This window comes from Homo sapiens, chromosome 22 (assembly GCF_000001405.40).
Source record: "Homo sapiens chromosome 22, GRCh38.p14 Primary Assembly".
Taxonomy (NCBI): domain Eukaryota; kingdom Metazoa; phylum Chordata; class Mammalia; order Primates; family Hominidae; genus Homo; species Homo sapiens.
Genome location: NC_000022.11, coordinates 10,735,660 through 10,753,461, shown reverse-complemented (window position 1 = coordinate 10,753,461; position 17,802 = coordinate 10,735,660). Strand labels below are relative to the sequence as shown.

At 40.4% G+C, this 17,802-nt stretch overlaps 1 long non-coding RNA gene and 1 pseudogene across 2 annotated transcripts; one reads left to right on the top strand and one right to left on the bottom strand.

The window, feature by feature from the left end:
* Window positions 1-399: 399 nt before the first annotated feature.
* On the bottom strand, window positions 400-11,370 carry LOC105379418 (uncharacterized). 2 transcript variants are annotated; one of them, XR_950596.4, is made up of 3 exons: window positions 11,271-11,370; window positions 3,804-3,964; window positions 618-702 (listed from the first exon to the last, which is right to left on the bottom strand). It is a non-coding gene; the product is annotated as an uncharacterized LOC105379418 (long non-coding RNA). The 2 variants fall into 2 exon arrangements; XR_950597.4 differs by lacking the exon at window positions 3,804-3,964 and having other exon boundaries at window positions 400-702.
* Window positions 11,371-17,178: 5,808 nt separating this feature from the next.
* LOC124905166 (uncharacterized) lies at window positions 17,179-17,292 on the top strand (annotated as a pseudogene).
* The last annotated feature ends 510 nt before the right edge of the window (window positions 17,293-17,802 follow it).

The following is a 17,802-nucleotide window of genomic DNA, read 5'->3' as shown; positions in this document are numbered from 1 at the left end:
TTTGTTAAGAAATTTGAAGTTGATTGCTACATTGAAGTATGTAGTTTTGTTTTTTTTTGTGAGTCTTTAACCATTTGTGTCCCTGTTAACTTATAATTGATGAGTTTATTTTGTATTTATTTTTAGGCAGGGTAAAATAGTAATATGCCTCATAAATAATATATGTTCCTATTACTAGTTTTGGTAGGATTTAAAAACTTTATAATAATCCTCAATATAGAAACCTGCCCCTTTAACCATATTAGCATTTGCTTTTAAAAAAAAATCTTTAGGTTTTGTTTCTAAAATGGTTCACAATTTATTTTTGAAAATATAAGGAATGAAATTCTAACTTTCTAATTTGAATGGAAGGATGAGTTGGTAGCACACGAAGCACTAAATTGAGTAATGTAGATTTTATTATTTTTAACGAATCCTTTGTTTAATATTTTGCAGGTTCAATTTGTTTACTTGTGATGTACAGAGAGTTTTTTATACCTTCCCAGTTTATATTTGAATATTCCTTTTCAAGGTTTTATAAAGAGATTTCTCTCCTTTACCCCTTTCAGCGATGTGCATTTTGTAAGCACTTTGGAGCCACTATCAAATGCTGTGAAGAGAAATGTACCCAGATGTATCATTATTCTTGTGCTGCAGGAGCCGGCTCCTTTCAGGATTTCAGTCACATCTTCCTGCTTTGTCCAGAACACATTGACCAAGCTCCTGAAAGATGTAAGTTTACTACGCATAGACTTTTAAACTTCAACCAATGTATTTACTGAAAATAACAAATGTTGTAAATTCCCTGAGTGTTATTCTACTTGTATTAAAAGGTAATAATACATAATCATTAAAATCTGAGGGATCGTTGCCAGAGATTGTTGGGGAGGGAAATGTTATCAACAGTTTCATTGAAATTAAATCCAAAAAGTTATTTCCTCAGAAAAATCAAATAAAGTTTGCATGTTTTTTATTCTTAAAACATTTTAAAAACCACTGTAGAAAGATGTAAATAGGGACTGTGCAGTATTTCTGACATATACTATAAAATTATTAAAAAGTCAATCAGTATTCAACATCTTTTACACTAAAAAGCCATCCAGTTGAAGAATTAGAAGACAGTTCACTCAGGTGTTATTTCAGGATTTACGTTAATAGGATCACCAAACACTTCTGAAATTCTTGGAAATTTTGTATCCCTGATAGGTGTGATAGAAATCTCTGCTAGCACCTTTTCATGATTCATCTATCTTAGTCATCTGTAATCTGCAGTTGTGCTGTTTTTCTTTCTTTTCCAAATAGTATTTTATAATTCAATGAAAATGTTTAAATGCTTGAAATTTACATTATACAGGAAATCATAACTCTACTATTGTATCATTAAATAGAGATCTCTCGTTTTTCTTACTATGTGTTTTCCCAATTTGGCATCTTTTTTCTCCTAGTCTATTGAATTTCCAATCTTATTATGGAACCTCCATGATATTTTATTCAGTCTTTTTTATGTCACCTCTTAGTTACCTAATGTTAGCTTTTACCTGTTCCTTAGCAATGTTGATAAAAGCTTTTTTTTCTATGTTCTCCAGGTCTGTGAAACATAAGTATAGCTACCCCAGGCTTAAACTAATCTCAAATATGGTTAGTGTACATGATCATTACCCTTTATCTTTGTTGAGTACCCTAATTTCATTTTCCATTAAAATTATTTTGTGTCCACATATGTAATCATATCACCCTTAGTAACCTAGTGTACAGACAAATTATAGGTAAGGCAAACTAAAATTTTAAATTATATTTAAGCTAATAAGGGATTTAAAGTTTTAAAATGCTTTAGATTGTACACTCTTCAATCTGGAAGAGAAGAACTTTCATGCACGGCAACTGTTGTGGTTACTATTTATGTACTGAGTTACTTCAGCAAGTGCACACACTGGCAGTTATCAGAGTGGATTATATTCTGAGTGGCATAATAAATATACTTTGTCATCTCAATAAAACAATTTTATGTGTATGTAAGAATCTGAATTTTATTCAGCCTTTTGTGTAGTCATACTTTAGACCTCAGTAAACAACATGCAAACTTGTATAAGAATGTTGCTCTGATGTTAGAACATTTTTTTACTCAATGGCAGTGCTACTTTCTACTGAAAACTGTGTTCGAATAGTGTATGCCTTCAGTTACATGTTAGCAATCATAAATCAGTTTGTAAAATAATAAACTAAATACTGAGGTGAGATAATTTGCTGTTGTTGATCATGTATATAATGAAAGGTTTATAGCAACATAAAGCTAAAAGATATACTAAAATTATGAGTACTCTGCCTTTTTCCAAAATAGACTTATGGAGACTCATAAAAATACATGAGCAATAGGATAAAACTAAAAATAAGTAAGGAAATTTGGCAATGGAAAATTTAGATAGGATAAATATGAAGATAATAGAGAGACCCCCAAAAAATATGTAATTCCAGACAAACCACAAATTTGGCCCCGTACCTTTTCAACAGTCAATACAAAGAAGGACATATGAGCCCTTAATCTGATTCTTACTATTTATAACATCACTTGATATAATGATATAATAATAAGACATCCCTTGATAGAATGCAATGAAAAATTGTCTTAAAGTAGCCACCTTGCAGTAGAAAAATACCAGTTTCATAGGGCTGTTTCTTATAGCAGCCTTCAAACTAAGTCAGTGGTATAAAATCAAGGCCTAAATGACTAAATTAGATTTCTTTGGTTTTTTTTTTTTTTTTTTGAGATGGAGTCTCGCTCTGTCACCCTGGCTGGAATGCAGTGGCATGGCCTTGGCTCACTGCAAACTCCGCTTTCTGGGTTCAGGTGATTTCTCCTGCCTCAGCCTCCCAAGTAGGTGGGATTACAGGCGCACACCATAACACCCGGTTAATTTTTTGTATTTTTAGTAGAGACGGGGTTTCACTATGTTGGCTAGATTTGTCTCCGACTCCTGACCTCGTGGTCTGCCCGTCTCAGCCTCCCAAACTGCTGGGATACAGAGGTGTGAGCCATCGTGCCCGGCCTCCTTGGGGATCTTAAACAGTGCATTCTAACTACACAGCGTTCTGACCCATCTGTTAAGAAGATCATAATCTTGGATTAAGTTCCAAGGATATAATTTAAAGAATATTGCAGATAGGATGTTTTGTCACCTTTTTAACACCTTTTATAAATATTTCTTCCTATCCTAATTGTGTGTCATGGCAGAAGTTACTTTTTATGCTTTTAAAATGATACTGTCTTAAATCATAGTGTTATTATGAGGGTTAAATGAACACAATGAATGGAATTCACATAACATTGTGCCTTGTATATATTAACTGCTTTAAAAAGGGTAGTTATTTTACCTCAAATCTAAGGCTTAAGTTATGAGAATGATAATACATATTGAGTATATGTATTTTCTGTTGCTTCCTAAAGGGCAGAGCAGTAGCTGTGATAGTTGACTGAGTTAGGAGTAAGGTTGACATCTTTTTATAAAAGTTGAGAAATTTAACAAAAGCATGTATCTCATTATAAAGAAATCCACTAAAGAGAGTATCTGTGAAGAAGGCCAAGATTTTCATCAGGAAACACTTTTAGGGTGCTGTGTCATAGGTAAATGGCTGGTCATTGTTGCAACATTATTTTCATGATGATACAAGGATACATTAACCTTTTCTGGAAATTTTACACTAAAAATCCATCTAGGAGATACAACCAGATATACTTCCTGAATAGGAAAACTGAATGGTAAGAAGCCAATCATGCAAGATAAGAGGAAAGAACATTCCAGGGAGAGGGAACAGACCACTACACAGACCTTGAGGAGTGGACTTGGCATGATTCATGAACAGACAGCATGTCATTTTACTTGGAGCATAGTAGCCTACTAGGTGAGGGTAGTAGAGACATCATCAAGGCGAACAAAGGCTAGATCATGTAGGCTTGTAAGCAAGGGAAGGAGTTTGGGTTCTGTTCGGTCTGCAATGAGAAGTTTTTGCAAGGTTTAAACATGGAAATGCTACACATCTTAATTCACCCCCTGTTCCTCAATGTATTTACTCATCATTTAGCTTTAATTCCTTTTACTTCACTTAAGCTTTAACTCCAGCCTCTTTTCTTTGGTTATCTTTGTATTTCTTGACATTAAGTCCTGCTGCTTTTCTTTTACCCTAAATTCTGTCAGTCCTCTGACCTTTCTTATCTACCTACCAATGATACGGTCTAGCCTCTTTGGATGACATGCACTAGCCTGAATATGTTAATTTACATTAAAAAAACCAAAAACTTAAAAAAAAATTAGAGATGGGGTCTCGACATGTTGCCCGGGCTGAATCCAAACTCCTAGGCTTAAGCAGTCCTCCTGCCTCAGCTTCCCAAGTAGCTGAATAAGCTAATTAACTTGTTTTGTTTCTCTCAGGGAGTGCACAACAGGTGGAGGGAGGAGGCAGGAGGGTGGGGATGAGAGCACCTTCCCAAGAAAAGGCCTGGAAGAGTTTATACCAACCAGGAAAGGCCTGGGGCACAGCAAAAGGAACTGGCCTTTACCTCTGAGAGAAAGGAATGCCTCCTCCCTTCTTCCAGCCTCCCTTAAGAAAAATACCCAGGAATACCCCCAGCCCTGTGAGCACAGAGCACTGGTGTGAGTTGTTTACTTGTTAATGAGTTTGCACCACTGTCTGCATGTAATGAGTCATTCAGGTCATTCTGGGATGATGTTAGTATGCACAAACCCCTCCTTTAATCTGGTTGGCTAGTTCAGAATAGACAAGTTTTAACACTGCTTCCTTCTCCCATCAAGAAGTAAAGCCCAGGTTCTGAGGAACAGACTCCATCTGGAGACCATGTTTGGTGAACCTGAGCTTTGGGAAACGACTTCAAGCCTCAAGTCGTTTTGCCCCTTCCTGTGGCTGACAGCATCAGAGGTCAGGATCACAATGAATTTTACCATTTTGATGGGGATTTTAAAACGTGACTGTTTAAAAAACGCTGCTTTGAAAATTTTTTTAATCTTGATTTATATAAGCATTTATTTCTTGATAAGATTTGAATTATAACCTAATTGATGACTTAATATTCTTCGGGGCTAAGACTACATGAGAAAAAAATGTTATACAGATTTTTTAAATGATTCCTGGGCTTAAGGAAAAAATTACTTTTAAATCCTTACCAGTCTCCCAGATAATTAATGAGCAGGTGTTGCCTGGGAGTGTAAAGATTTTTAGGTCTTATGACCTCGTGGCCGCTTGGTCCAAAAAATAAGATTACTTGCCTCTTTCCTTATTCTTACCGGATAGAATGAGACTCGTTTAAAACATCTCGTTTAGGTTAGAAAAGAAAATGGGACACCATATTTGTAATTGACCTAACATTTATAAGTAACTGATTTAAATGAACTTTACTCAAAGCACACTCCACAAAAGGCACTTCAAATTTCACTGGAGCACAGCCCTTTGTGTTGTAGAATAATGTAGAATAAAATGGCTTTCTTTTTTAACACCACCACAACACTCAAGGAAATGAAAGTAGGTAAGGCATCTATCTGTGAACAGCAGTGCTATCCATTCCATGAATGTTTAGGGTTTACTCCATGTTAGGCACTAGGGACAGGATGGCAAACAGGGCAGACAGGTCCCCTGACCTCTTCCACCACCCTACAGTCGAGTGAAGAAAGTAGATTTTTTAAAAATTATTATTATACTTTAAGTTTTAGGGTACACGTGCACAATGTGCAGATTAGTTACATATGTATACATGTGCCATGCTGGTGTGCTGCACCCATTAACTCGTCATTTAGCATTAGGTATATCTCCTAATGCTATCCCTCCCCCCTCCCCCTACCCCACATTGCTCTTGTCTCCCAGGCTGGAGAACAGTGGTGTTATCTCGGCTCACTGCAACCTCTGCCTCCTGGGTTCAAGCAATTCTCCTGCCTCAGCCACGTGAGTAGCTAGGATTACAGGTGTGCAACATGACACCTGGCTAATTTTGTATTTTTAGTAGAGATGGGGTTTCGCCAGTTGGCCAGACTGGTCTCGAACCCCTGACCTCAGGTGATCCTCCCGCCTTGGCCTCCCAAAATGCTGGGATTACAGGCGTGAGCCACCATGTCCAGCTAGATTTTAAATATTAACAAAATAATTACAAGTTCTGATTATTACCATTAAGAGAAAAGCACAGAGATAAAATAACATCAGAGAGGGGACACCACCACTTTAGGAAGCCAGGTAAGGGCTGGAGGAGGTGAAATTTAGGCAAAGATTAAAGGACATTAGGAGTCAGACCTGCCATAGCAGGAGGGAATAGCATCCCTGGCAGAGAGGAAAGCTTGTTCAGAGCCACAGTCCTGAAAGAAGCTTGTTTGAGGGACTACAAGAAGACCAATGTGCTTGAAGCATAATACATCTAAGATCAGATGTGTGATGAGTTTGAAGAGGCAGCTAGATCACCGTAAGAACTTTGGAGGGCTTTTGGCAGGAGAGTGACATGATCTGATCTGATGTATATTTTGAAAGGTCACTCCAGCTTCCAGGTAGCAGTGGAAGAAGACATGCAAAAATCACAATCATAACTTACACGGCGTGGTAGCTTGGAGTACGGAGGAAGAGGAAGAACATTTGGGGCATATTTTGGAAGTGGAATAAACAGATCTGCTGGTGGATGGAGAAGAGTGGGGTGAGGGTTGGTAATGAGGAGCCAAGGATGACTCATTTTCAGGTTGGAGTAACTGGGAAGGCTTGGAAGACTAGTGGAGAAACAGGTTTGGAGAGAGAAGTCTCAGTCCCTTAGTCATTCACCTCAGTTTCTTAGTCACTGGAATACCTTAGATCTCTTATCTACCATTTCTTTAAAAACATGCGTAAGCCCAGGGAGGCCGATGGGGGAGGATCCCTTGAACCCAGGAGTTTGAGGCATACCTGGGCAACACAGCAAGACCCTGTCTCTCTAAAAACAACAACTACAAAAAAAAGGGGGAGGCAGAAAAAGGCTGGACACAGTGGCACACGCCTATAATCCCAGCATTTTGGGAGGCCGAGGCAGGTGGATCACATGACATGAGGAGTTCGAGACCAGCCTGACCAACATGGTGAAAACCTGTCTCTATAAAAATACAAAATTAGCCAGGCGTGATGGCGTGCACCTGTAATCCCAGCTACTTGGGAGGCTGAGACAGGAGAATTGCTGGAACCTGGGAGGCGGAGGTTGCAGTGAGCCAAGCTAGTGTCACTACACTGCAGCCTGGGTAACAGAGCAAGACTCTGTCTCAAAAAACAAAAAACAAACAAACAAAAACAGAAAGAAACATGTGTAGCAGAAAACTGCTACCTGCTGGGCCTAAACTAACCCCAGATTTTTAATATATATATATATATATATATATAGCAAGAGCTTACAGAACAGGCAGCACCAAGTGGGAGTTGGGGGGCTTGTCTTGATGTTGCATTTGATAAATATACACAGTTTTTACTCAGATTATATTTTTGCTTAGATTTGGGCTAAAGATCCCCAAAGCTGCCCCTTGGTATTGACACTCATTAAGAAATTAAGGAAGAGATAGTACTATTGAACTATTTTCCAAAAAAAGAAAAAAAAAGACAAAAACCCAAAACAAATGGGATGTGATGTACATTTTCCATGTTATTTTATACATGAGCTATCTTTCCAATACTGAAGTTGGTTTAGCAAGAAAAGAATTAAAAACGTCAAAGTGCAAGCCAAGAGCCAAAACCACTCTCAACAGCCCAAAGTTGTGAACGTATTTAATTTGCCCTTTCCCTGGGAAGTCATTTCTTGGATCATTGACTTACTATTATTCTGTAAAACAGTGGTAGCCCCTGCCTTCCTCTGCTTGCTGCCAAGAGTATGATCCAGCAGTGGGGTCTGAAGAGTTTATGTTTATTGGATTTTAATGACTTAGTTAACAAAGGTCATTCCTAAAAATAATAGAAAACTAAGGGTGTGGAAACAGAACGGAAAAGACTGACTCGAGGGTTATTTCTAGTAGTTCCTTGGTGTTGTCCTTAGATACATGTTTAATCCTTAAAAGCAATTATGAAGGAGTCTTCCTCATAACCAATTTACTGATGCTATATTCAACTATACTTGTAAAACGTTATTTTAGACCTCTCAGTAACAAAAGGAACAGGGCTTAAAATATGTTAGATAATATTGCCATAAACAATGTGCTGTTAACATAATATTGCTGACAGTATAATTGTAATTCACTGTAAAACTTGAATGCCACAACTGTAGTGCTTCCATTATCGCTGACGGTAGGAAATAACTTCAGTCTCAGGTGAAATCTGGTTGGATACAAATCTCCAAGTTAAAAGAAACCTCAAAGACCATTTAATCTTGTCCTTTTAAATATTTAATAACTCATTTGGTAGTAAATATTTATCCAAATTATGTTTCTTAGACTGTAAAATAATTTCCAGGCTGGGTGTGCTGGCTCACACCTGTAATCTTAGCACTTTGGGAGGACGAGGCAGGAGGATCATTTGAGGCCAGGTGTTCGAGAACAAATTGGGCAACAAAATCAGACTTTATCTCCATTCAAAGTAAATAAAACTAAAAAAAAAATTAGGGGCTGGGCACAGTGGCTCTCACCTGTAATCCAGCATTCTGGGAGGCCAGGGCAGGAGGATCACCTGAAGTTAGGAGTTCAAGACCCGCCGAACCAACATGGAGAAACCCCATCTCTACTAAAAATACAAAATTAGCCAGGCATGGTGGCACATGCCTGTAATCCCAGCTACTTGGGAGGCTGACGCAGGAGAATTGCTTGAACCTGGGAGGCGGAGGTTGCAGTGAGCCAAGATCACACCATTGCACTCCAGCTTGGGCAACAAGAGCGAAACTCTGTCTCTAAATAAATAAATAAATTAGCTGGGTATGGTGGCACACACCTGTAGTCACATCTACTCAGGAGGCTCAGCTGAGAGGATTGCTTGAGCCCAAGGGTTCAAGGGTGTAGTGAGCTATGATCGCACCACTATACTCCAGCCTGGGTGACAGAACAAGACCCTGTCTCAAAAAAAAAAAAAAAAAACAAAACTTGAGCTAAATGGTGATTGAATTATTTAAAATTAAATTGATGAGATCATTTAAGAATATGTGGAAAGAAAGAAATTTACAGTCATTCCTCAGGTATAAATTAAATATTTTCCACCTCAAAAATCCAATGACATGAGATATAAATGTATAGTTCACATATGTAATACATTTCTCACATGGTTACAGAACCTTTCTGATCTGGCTCCGGTTGACTTTTCCAGCCTTATCTAACTTCTCCTCCCTCCTACCAACCCTGTTTTTTCCTCCTCCTCTCCTTAGCTACAGCCTTACTAATCTTCCTACTGTGAGACTCAAACCCACGCTGCTCTCAGGTCTCAGGGCCTATGTACCAGTAATTCCCACTGCCTGGAATCCCTTGCCCTCATTCTTTGTTGGGTCATTCTGCAGACCCAGTACTACTTCCTCTTGGGAGCCTTTGTCCATCTCCTCTTCCCCCAATCTCCGAACCCCACCAAGACGTCAGTAGTTCTTGAGCAAGCCTCTGCTTAATTTTCCTGGGATGACCAAAACTAACACTGTCTGATCCGTTGTTCAATCCCCAATACCTAGAACAGAGCTGCAACATAACAGGCACTATAAATGAATGAATGGATAAAGACAGCACTGAAGAACTTGAAATTATAGTTTACACATGTAAACAGTAACATAAATCTGAAGAAATAAAGTTTTTTTCTGTTTGTTTTTTCGAGATGGAGTCTCGCTCTGTCACCAGGCTGGAGTGCAGTGGTGCAATCTGGCCTCACTGCAACCTCCGCCTCCCAGGTTCAAGCGATTTCCCTGCCTCAGCCTCAGCGTCCCAAGTAGCTAGGACTCCAGGCACGCGCCACAATGCCTGGCTTTCTTTCTTTCTTTCTTTCTTTCTTTCTTTTTGTATTTTAGTAGAGATGGGTTTCACTGTATTGGCCAAGATGGTCTCAATCTCCTGACCTTGTGATCTGCCTGCCTCATCCTCCCAAAGTGCTGGGATTACAGGCGTGAGCCACCGGGCCTGGCCAAGTTGTTGTTTTTAAAAGATACATTTCAACTCACTTCTCTAAGGTGGGAATACACACAGCCTGCCATCAGTTTGACATAAAACAAAAATTTTACCCTTGTCTCATGCTAAATTTCTTTTACTAGGTTAAAAAAATGTAGAATCCAAAGAGCTGTAAATGCAAATGACAAATACTGTACAAAATCTATCAAGCAACTATAAGTCACAACTTGCAAGCTTTCTCCTCAGCAAATGAGTTAAAAGGAAAAGTATTTGAAACTTTCTTGGTGGAAAACGAATGACCTTTAAAAATGCCAGCATTTTCCCCAGAGAATAGATTTGGTCTGAGTTCTTCATTTCTGAAATTGTACAAGATAAGACCTCTTGGTTTGAGAGTCAAACTGCATCCTTCTATGAAGGTTTTAGATATTTTAAGTCTCCATACAAAACACTCCCCTTATTTTGAGAACAAAAGGAACAATAAGACAACCTAGGCGGGGAAGAGAAAGAAAGGTCTTGAAACAAAGTCCCTGGAAAGGTAAAAACAACAACAAAAATAGTAAGTTAGAGCTCGTGTTAGATCTGATAACTCAAAACTGCACAACGTTTGCCATACATCGAAAGCAACATGGGAAAACAGAAAAAGAGCTCACAAACATTTTTTTGAGTGTCCTAACTTGTAGAACCCCTAAGAATGAATCAAATACACTTGGACAAAGTTCTTTTTTTCTCTCTCTCCTTCAAGTCGCAGACTAGGGGTGTGGGGCGGGGGACGGGGAGTAAGACGGGGTCCCTAATAAACACAAGACCCAGTCTAGGACGTGTTTAATTGCTGACATTTTAGAAGAAAAATGGGCTACTTACAATTAATGAACCAAACTACCAAACTAAAATCATGAGTAGGAGGAGGAGTAAATGGAACTGTCTGGGCGAAGTTTCAGGAAGGTGAAAGCTGGGGTCGCTGAGCCCTCCCCCACCCATAGCTCGGGGCTCTCCAGTCGCTCCCGGCCCCCAGCGCGGACTTTCGGGCGCCAACGGCCCAACCATACAGACTTGGCAGGATGTAGCCCCCTTCTCCCCTCTCCAAGAGAGAAAAGTGCTAGGAGACGCAAACCGTATTTCCGTGTCCGAGCGTTGAAACCTGCGGAGTCCCGCGCGGGGCGCCCACACTCGTTCCCGGGGAGCCCCAGCCCGGTCACCTGCCCCGGTCCCAGCTCCAGCCTGGGCCTCCCTTACTCTGGGGCTCCATGGTCGGCTGCTCCCCGGCCTCCGCGGGCGAACGCCGGGGCTCCTAACGCCTCTCAGCCAGGTCCGGCGTCGCTACGGTTGCCCTGACAACCGGGAGGCGGAGTGGGCAGAACCAGAGGGACTGCAAGCGGGAGGGACCAAAAGCCGCAGGAAGTGAGGAAGCGCGTGAGGATCCGCGCGTCGCCTGGGACACTGAGCGAGGGTAGCGGCCAGGTCACCGGCTGAGGACACTGCCCCTGAAGCCCGGTCAGGCGGTCGCGCCCTCCCTGGCGGCCCCCGCGGCCTGGCAGGACCTGTGCCCCGACGTCGCCGACCCGCGGCGTCCGTCGGGCGAGTGGGCCTGCCCGCGGGTAAGGCGCCGGCCCTGGGCCGCCCTCCCGGGACTCGGGAGGCGCCGCTGCAGGTAACAGCTGGGCCCCCGCGGCGGAAGGGGTCGGGGGTCGGCGCAGGGGCGAGCGCGCCCCGAGCCGGGTGTGCGGCCCCGGCGCACCTGTTGTAGCCGCCTGGGGGTCCCCTGCCCGCAGTTGGCCGTGGACGTTCCCCGCCCCGACTCCGAAATGCCGAGGGCCGCCTCCACGCCTCCTGCTCCGGGAGCCACGCCTCAGCGGGAGGATGGAACCCTGCGGGCAGCCCTCGCACCCGGGGCTCCCTCGGAGCCCGGGCATGGGCCGGGCCTGGGGTGGTCCCTCGAACCCCCCTGACGGGAAGCATGGAGCAATGCGAGCCGCTGCCGTCGTCGCTGTCGTCCCCAGTGAGCCAGGAGCGCCTCCTGAATCGCGAGAGCCAAGAGCACGGCTTTGCCATCATCCCCGTGTCCCATTTCAGGCAGGGGGCCCTGGTTGGATCTTTGTCGCTGGCTTCGTTTTGTGTGTGTTGATTTGTTTCAGTCCTTCGCGTTTCCGGTTGAGTTACGGAATCTGCCCACACGTTTTGTGGCCAAACTTTGTAGGGCTGTGAAACCATGTAACATTATCTCACACAATAGTCTTTCATACTGGTTTTAAAACACAGTGATGCAGGGTTTGCTTTAAGGAAGCTTTGAGGATCACAAGGGATTATTATCTGGTAGGTTGTAAAAATTCAAACAACCAGGAGAGTGTCATAGGTTCCGGAACACCGGGAGGAGGAAAGAAAAATGGAGAGGAGAGAAAAAGGATAAGCAAGAAAGTGCAGGGGCATTAAGGGTGTGGGGGCTGCAGGATTGATTTGGTACTCAGGTCTGGAGATTATGGCCCCTCTATTATTCCAACCGCTGCTCCAGACAGTACTTGAGGGAAATGGAAGGAAGAGCCATTTTGGGGGTCATGCAAGTGATTACTAATCTTGCCAGTATAAAGATTTCCACTCCATGGATGACAAGGACACTAAGGAGAATTACTTTCCTCTTAGAAAGGGAATCATTGAGAGGTTAATTGAACTTGAGAAGCATATATTCTGTGATGGAAACTGACATTTATTATATTCTTCCAAATTAGGTTTTCCCCCTCTTAGACTATATGGGGACTTTTTCAGATTAATTGTCAAAACAAGAAGGTTTACGTGTGGATATTGACAAGCAGCGTGATATATACAGAACACATAATTCTCAAGCTGAAGTATTAAGGTAATAAATTAAGGGTGGAAAGTAAACACTTCATGGAACCTTACCTCCCTGTTCCTGAAATTTGGAGACAGGGGCTTCATTTTTAGACAGAAAGTATCTAAAGATCAGCAGTACTTCTGTATCCAGTGGTTCTCAAGTTCTAGTTTACATATCATTGGTAAAATCACAAAGCGATCTTTTCATTCAAGATACAAATAGAGTGATCAGTATATCATAATCAAAAGTGACAAGATAGTGATTTAAAAAACACCTGGCATTTATTGACAAAAGAAAAGGTAGGATTAAGTCTGCTCAAACAGTAAAGGATTAGCATTAGTATTTTTTTAAAAAGAAGAAACAACAGTTCAGGTCTCTATGCTAAAGTAGTAAGGACTGAAGAAGTTTTAAGTTTGGAAAAAATGGGGATATGTATTGGTGAAACACTTTGTAATCATATAGAATGATTATTTTATCAGCAGCTGTGAAGTTGACTTTGAGGAAATTTTGAATTGAAATACTTTAGGTGACAAGTAAAGGCAACTGTGAAAAACAACATTTGATTTTAGCGGACAGGGTACCTGTGGAAGAAGACTGGTTAGGAGTGGAAGTGAGGTGTAAAGGCACTGAAATGTCTGAGGCAGGGACAATATTCAGTTTCTCTTCCTCTATCACCTAGTGCAATGTACTTGTTAAACGTTTGTTGAATGAGTGAGAAGGGCTTTAGAGAAATTGCTTTGGATATAGGGATACACTTTACTATTGGAGAAAACACCCGAGATCAGAAAGTTGCTAATGAGATAGGGGTGGGGGATGAATGGTAAAGACACTGATTGTACCTTTTTGGAGTTTTCTACCATTGTGTTTTATTTCTTTTCACCGGCATGTTCAGTATGTTATTAGTGGTCAAATAAAAAGGAATAAAGTTCTATTTTTTTTTAAGTCTCCAAGCTCATTACTAGATAGAATAGTTACATTATTGTTTACTTTGCTGATGTTTAGCTAAATGTAGCAAACTGAAGCATTATGGATCGGGAATAACAAAGTAACAATGAAGAAACAGATGTTGTCTTTTTCTTATTTAAATCTCTTGACTACCTAGAATTCAACGTAGAAATAACTTTAGTGGGAGGTTAACATTATTTAATGCAAATAGGTTGATAAAAAATGTAGCAAATGAACATGTTATTAATAGTTCTGTCTTCTAGCCTTACTGTGGTAAGTTGAAGGAAGTTTTCATTTTTGTTTTTGTTGGTTTTAGGGTTTTTGTTGGTTTTTGTTTTCTTTACCAGAGTGAGGATACTTTTTTCTCTATCTGATACTTTCTGAAACTCTTAAGGATTTCGGTCAAAAGTGGAAAACAATCAAATTTCTATTTTTGGTGTTTTCCTCTTTGTTCTCCAAACTTGTCATGGTCTACGTTCAATTTGTTGCACTCACACGGAATGTCTGTCTCTCAGACCTTTACTCGTCCACAGTCTAAAGGAGACTGGCCGGGCGCGGTAGCTCACGCCTGTAATCCCAGTACTTTGGAAGGCCGAGGCGGGCGGATTACGAGGTCAGGAGATCGAGACCATCCTAGCTAACATGGTGAAACCCCGTCTCTACTAAAAATACAAAAAGTTAGCTGGGCATGGTGGCGGGCACCTGTAGTCCCAGCTACTCGGGAGGCTGAGCCAGGAGAATGGCGTGAACCCGGGAGGCGGAGCTTGCAGTGAGCAGAGATTGGGCCACTGTACTCCAACCTGGGTGACCGAGCAAGACTCCATCTCAAAAAAAAAAAAAATAAAAGTTAAATAAATAAATAAATAAATAAAGGGGACTGCAGGAGCATGCTGCCCCAGTTTCTGGAAAGTCTTTCAGGATTAGGCTAATGCCCACTAAATGCACTTCTCTCTCCTACTGGGGGTGCTACACGGTTTAGCATTTAGCTCTGTAGGATGCTTTCGTATAGAATTTTATCTCATATGGATGGGTCTTGTACCTCTGACTAGATTAAATATGTTTGGAGCTAAGTGCATGACTTACGCTTCTTCTGTGTTGCTTTTAGCACACGGTGGGCTTCATTGTGTACCTGATAATTTAAGTAGGGTAATAATAGAGAGGTCAAACCTTTAGTTTGGGGTCATTGCATTAATTTCTAGCTTTGCCCCTTTGGAAAAACAGAAACTATTATTTCGTCATTGATAACTTGGGATAATAAAACCTGCAATGGTTGTCTGATAGTCTAGTTGTGAGAATCAAGATAAATGTGATTATAGATTATGAATGAAAATATCTTGTATGTCATAATGAACTTTTTTAATATAAAGGGCTGTTATTGACTTAGGCATAGAGCAGACATTGATACCACATTCACAATGTCTTAGGTACTTCCTGGGCTCTGGAATTGCATGTCATAAAGGGTGAACAGGAAATGACCAGGTGCTTCTGAAGCAGAACAGCCTGGGCTGAGGCACGAAGGCCGGGAGAACAACTAAGCCATGGTTTATTCTGGCTGAACTGGAGAATACTTCTTCATGTGTATTAGCAGAAAATGGGAGGAAGTAAGGCCAGAAAGGCAAATGTGGGCCAAATCAGAAGGAACCTAAGGACCATGAGTTTATCTTCCTTAAAGGTAATAAGGAGGATTTGGGTCAGTGACTGGATCAGTTTTGCATTTGGAAAGGATCACTGGCAACACTCAAATGACAGATTGGTAGAGAGCCTAAATGGGAGACAAAAAACTGGAGATGTTGCTGAAGCTCAGTGAAGAAATGAAGAGAACTAGGAGAGCGACGGTGGGAATAAGAAGGAGGGGCCACTAAAAAAGGTAGAATTAGCAGATCTTGGTGATACAGGAGATGAGGAAGGAGAAGCCAGGGATGACAGTGGGGTGGATCATTCTGTTATTCATTGAACTCTAAAGAAGAAAAAAAAATTTTTGAGGAGTTTAAGAAGTGGGGTAGATGTGTTCAGTTTGAGAAGCCTGTCATATATGTTGGGAGGTCCCATAAGTAGTAGTAGTTGGACATGTGGGTCTGGAACTAAAGGGAAAAAGTCTGAGATGAAGATAGAAATTTGGATTAAGCATTTAGTGATTGAAGTTAAAATGTGATGATTTACTCCAGGGATATTATGTGGAATAAGAGGGTAAAGGATAGAGCCCTGAAGTATGCACATTTTACGTTGTGGGGAGGGGCTGATGGTGGAAGAACCTGCGGAGACTAAGGACCAATGGTCAGAAAAGGGGGCTGAAAATCTGGGAGGATTAATGGAAGAGTGCCTACTCCTGGAGTTCATGCATTGGCATTCCCCAGAATGATTATATTTTCCTCTAGCCACCGTAGAACGCACAACACAGTTCATCTATTATTGTTTTATTAAAGTTCATGTAAAATGACTACCCATTACTTTGTTAACAACAGAAATCTTGATATTTATGTTTAAAAATATTTTTTAAAACATTTTTAAACAGATTTTTTAGATACAGAGTCTTGCTATGTTGCCTAGGCTGGTCTGGAACTCCTGGGCTCCTCCAGCCTCAGCCTTCCAAAGTGCTGGGATTCCAGGCATGAGCCACTGTGCCTGTGGCTATTTATGGGTTTTTTTGTCTACATTTGGGACAACAAATCAAGTAAAATGTAACTTTAGAAGTTGATTATGATTATGCCTCAAGCAAATACTTTAAAAAAAAAAGAGAGAGAGAGAGATGGATAAAAGTTAATTTTGTGTATGTCTCAGGTAAAATATGTTAACTTGGGGAGACCAGCAGTAACCTGTTCTTTAAATCTCAGCTTTTATTGAATCTCACACAAAATTTTTCTCAGATATGTCACTAGACTACTTAAATAAGCCAGATTAGTATTTTTGCATGCTTTATTAACTCTGCTTCTACTCAGAGTAAATTAGTTTTTGGAATGGAATGCAGTCAAAAAAATCATCAAAATAATATCACAAAGCACTGAGTGGTCCAGTCATTTGAACTTCTGACAATACCTTTGACTTAGAAACTTATTTGTGGGGAGTGGTATATTAATACTATACATAAACATTGATTGAGCTCGGGGGGACTTTCTGTATATACATTTAAAAATATGTTTTTTTTAATAGAGACAGGGTCTCACTGTGTTGCCCAGGCTAGTCTCAAACTCCTGGGCTCAAATTATCCTCCCCACTTGGCCTCCCAAAAGGATGGGATTACAGGCATGAGCCACTGCCCAAAGGCTAAAATTTTTTTAAGTACCATTAGAATGTAAGGATTCTTTTTAAAAAATTTGATTGTGCAGGGTTGGTTATTCAACCAATATGCAATACAATATTCAATACTGTATATTCATCACTTCTCGGCCTTTTGGCTAAGATCAACTGTAGTATCTGTTGTTATTAATATAATATTGTATATTCAACCAATTGTCAATACAAGGCTGTTTGTATCTGATATGAACCAACATTGAGTTAAAAATGGACGTTTTTTTAAAAAAAGCTAATTAACTAGATTTGCTTACTTAAAATCAAAGCAATCAACTCGTTACAAGTCTAGAAATAAGGATTTTAAAATAAATTTTGAATTTTGACATTATCTTTTCCCAGAAAGACTTTAAATTGATACTGGAAACGAAATAGGATATATTTTGGGAGATTTGAGGCTATTAAAACAAAGGCAAACAAAGAAGTGACCTTCTAAAAGTCCTAGTAATGATTAGGTCCATTGTTTCAATTAAACCATACCTTGCTTGAGAGATAAAGTGTATTAAATATTGACTGTAACTTTGTATTAGAAATGTTTTTAAAATCTATAAAAAAGATTTACCAATCTATCTATACCATGTTTTTCAGTTTTATGGTATTTCTTCCAGACCTCTCTTCCTGACATCTCCATTAGTGTCAAGTATTTCTTCAACCCCCAGTGATGCAACGTGAGTCTATTTTTAAAAATGTAGTCTGGAAGCAATATGTAAT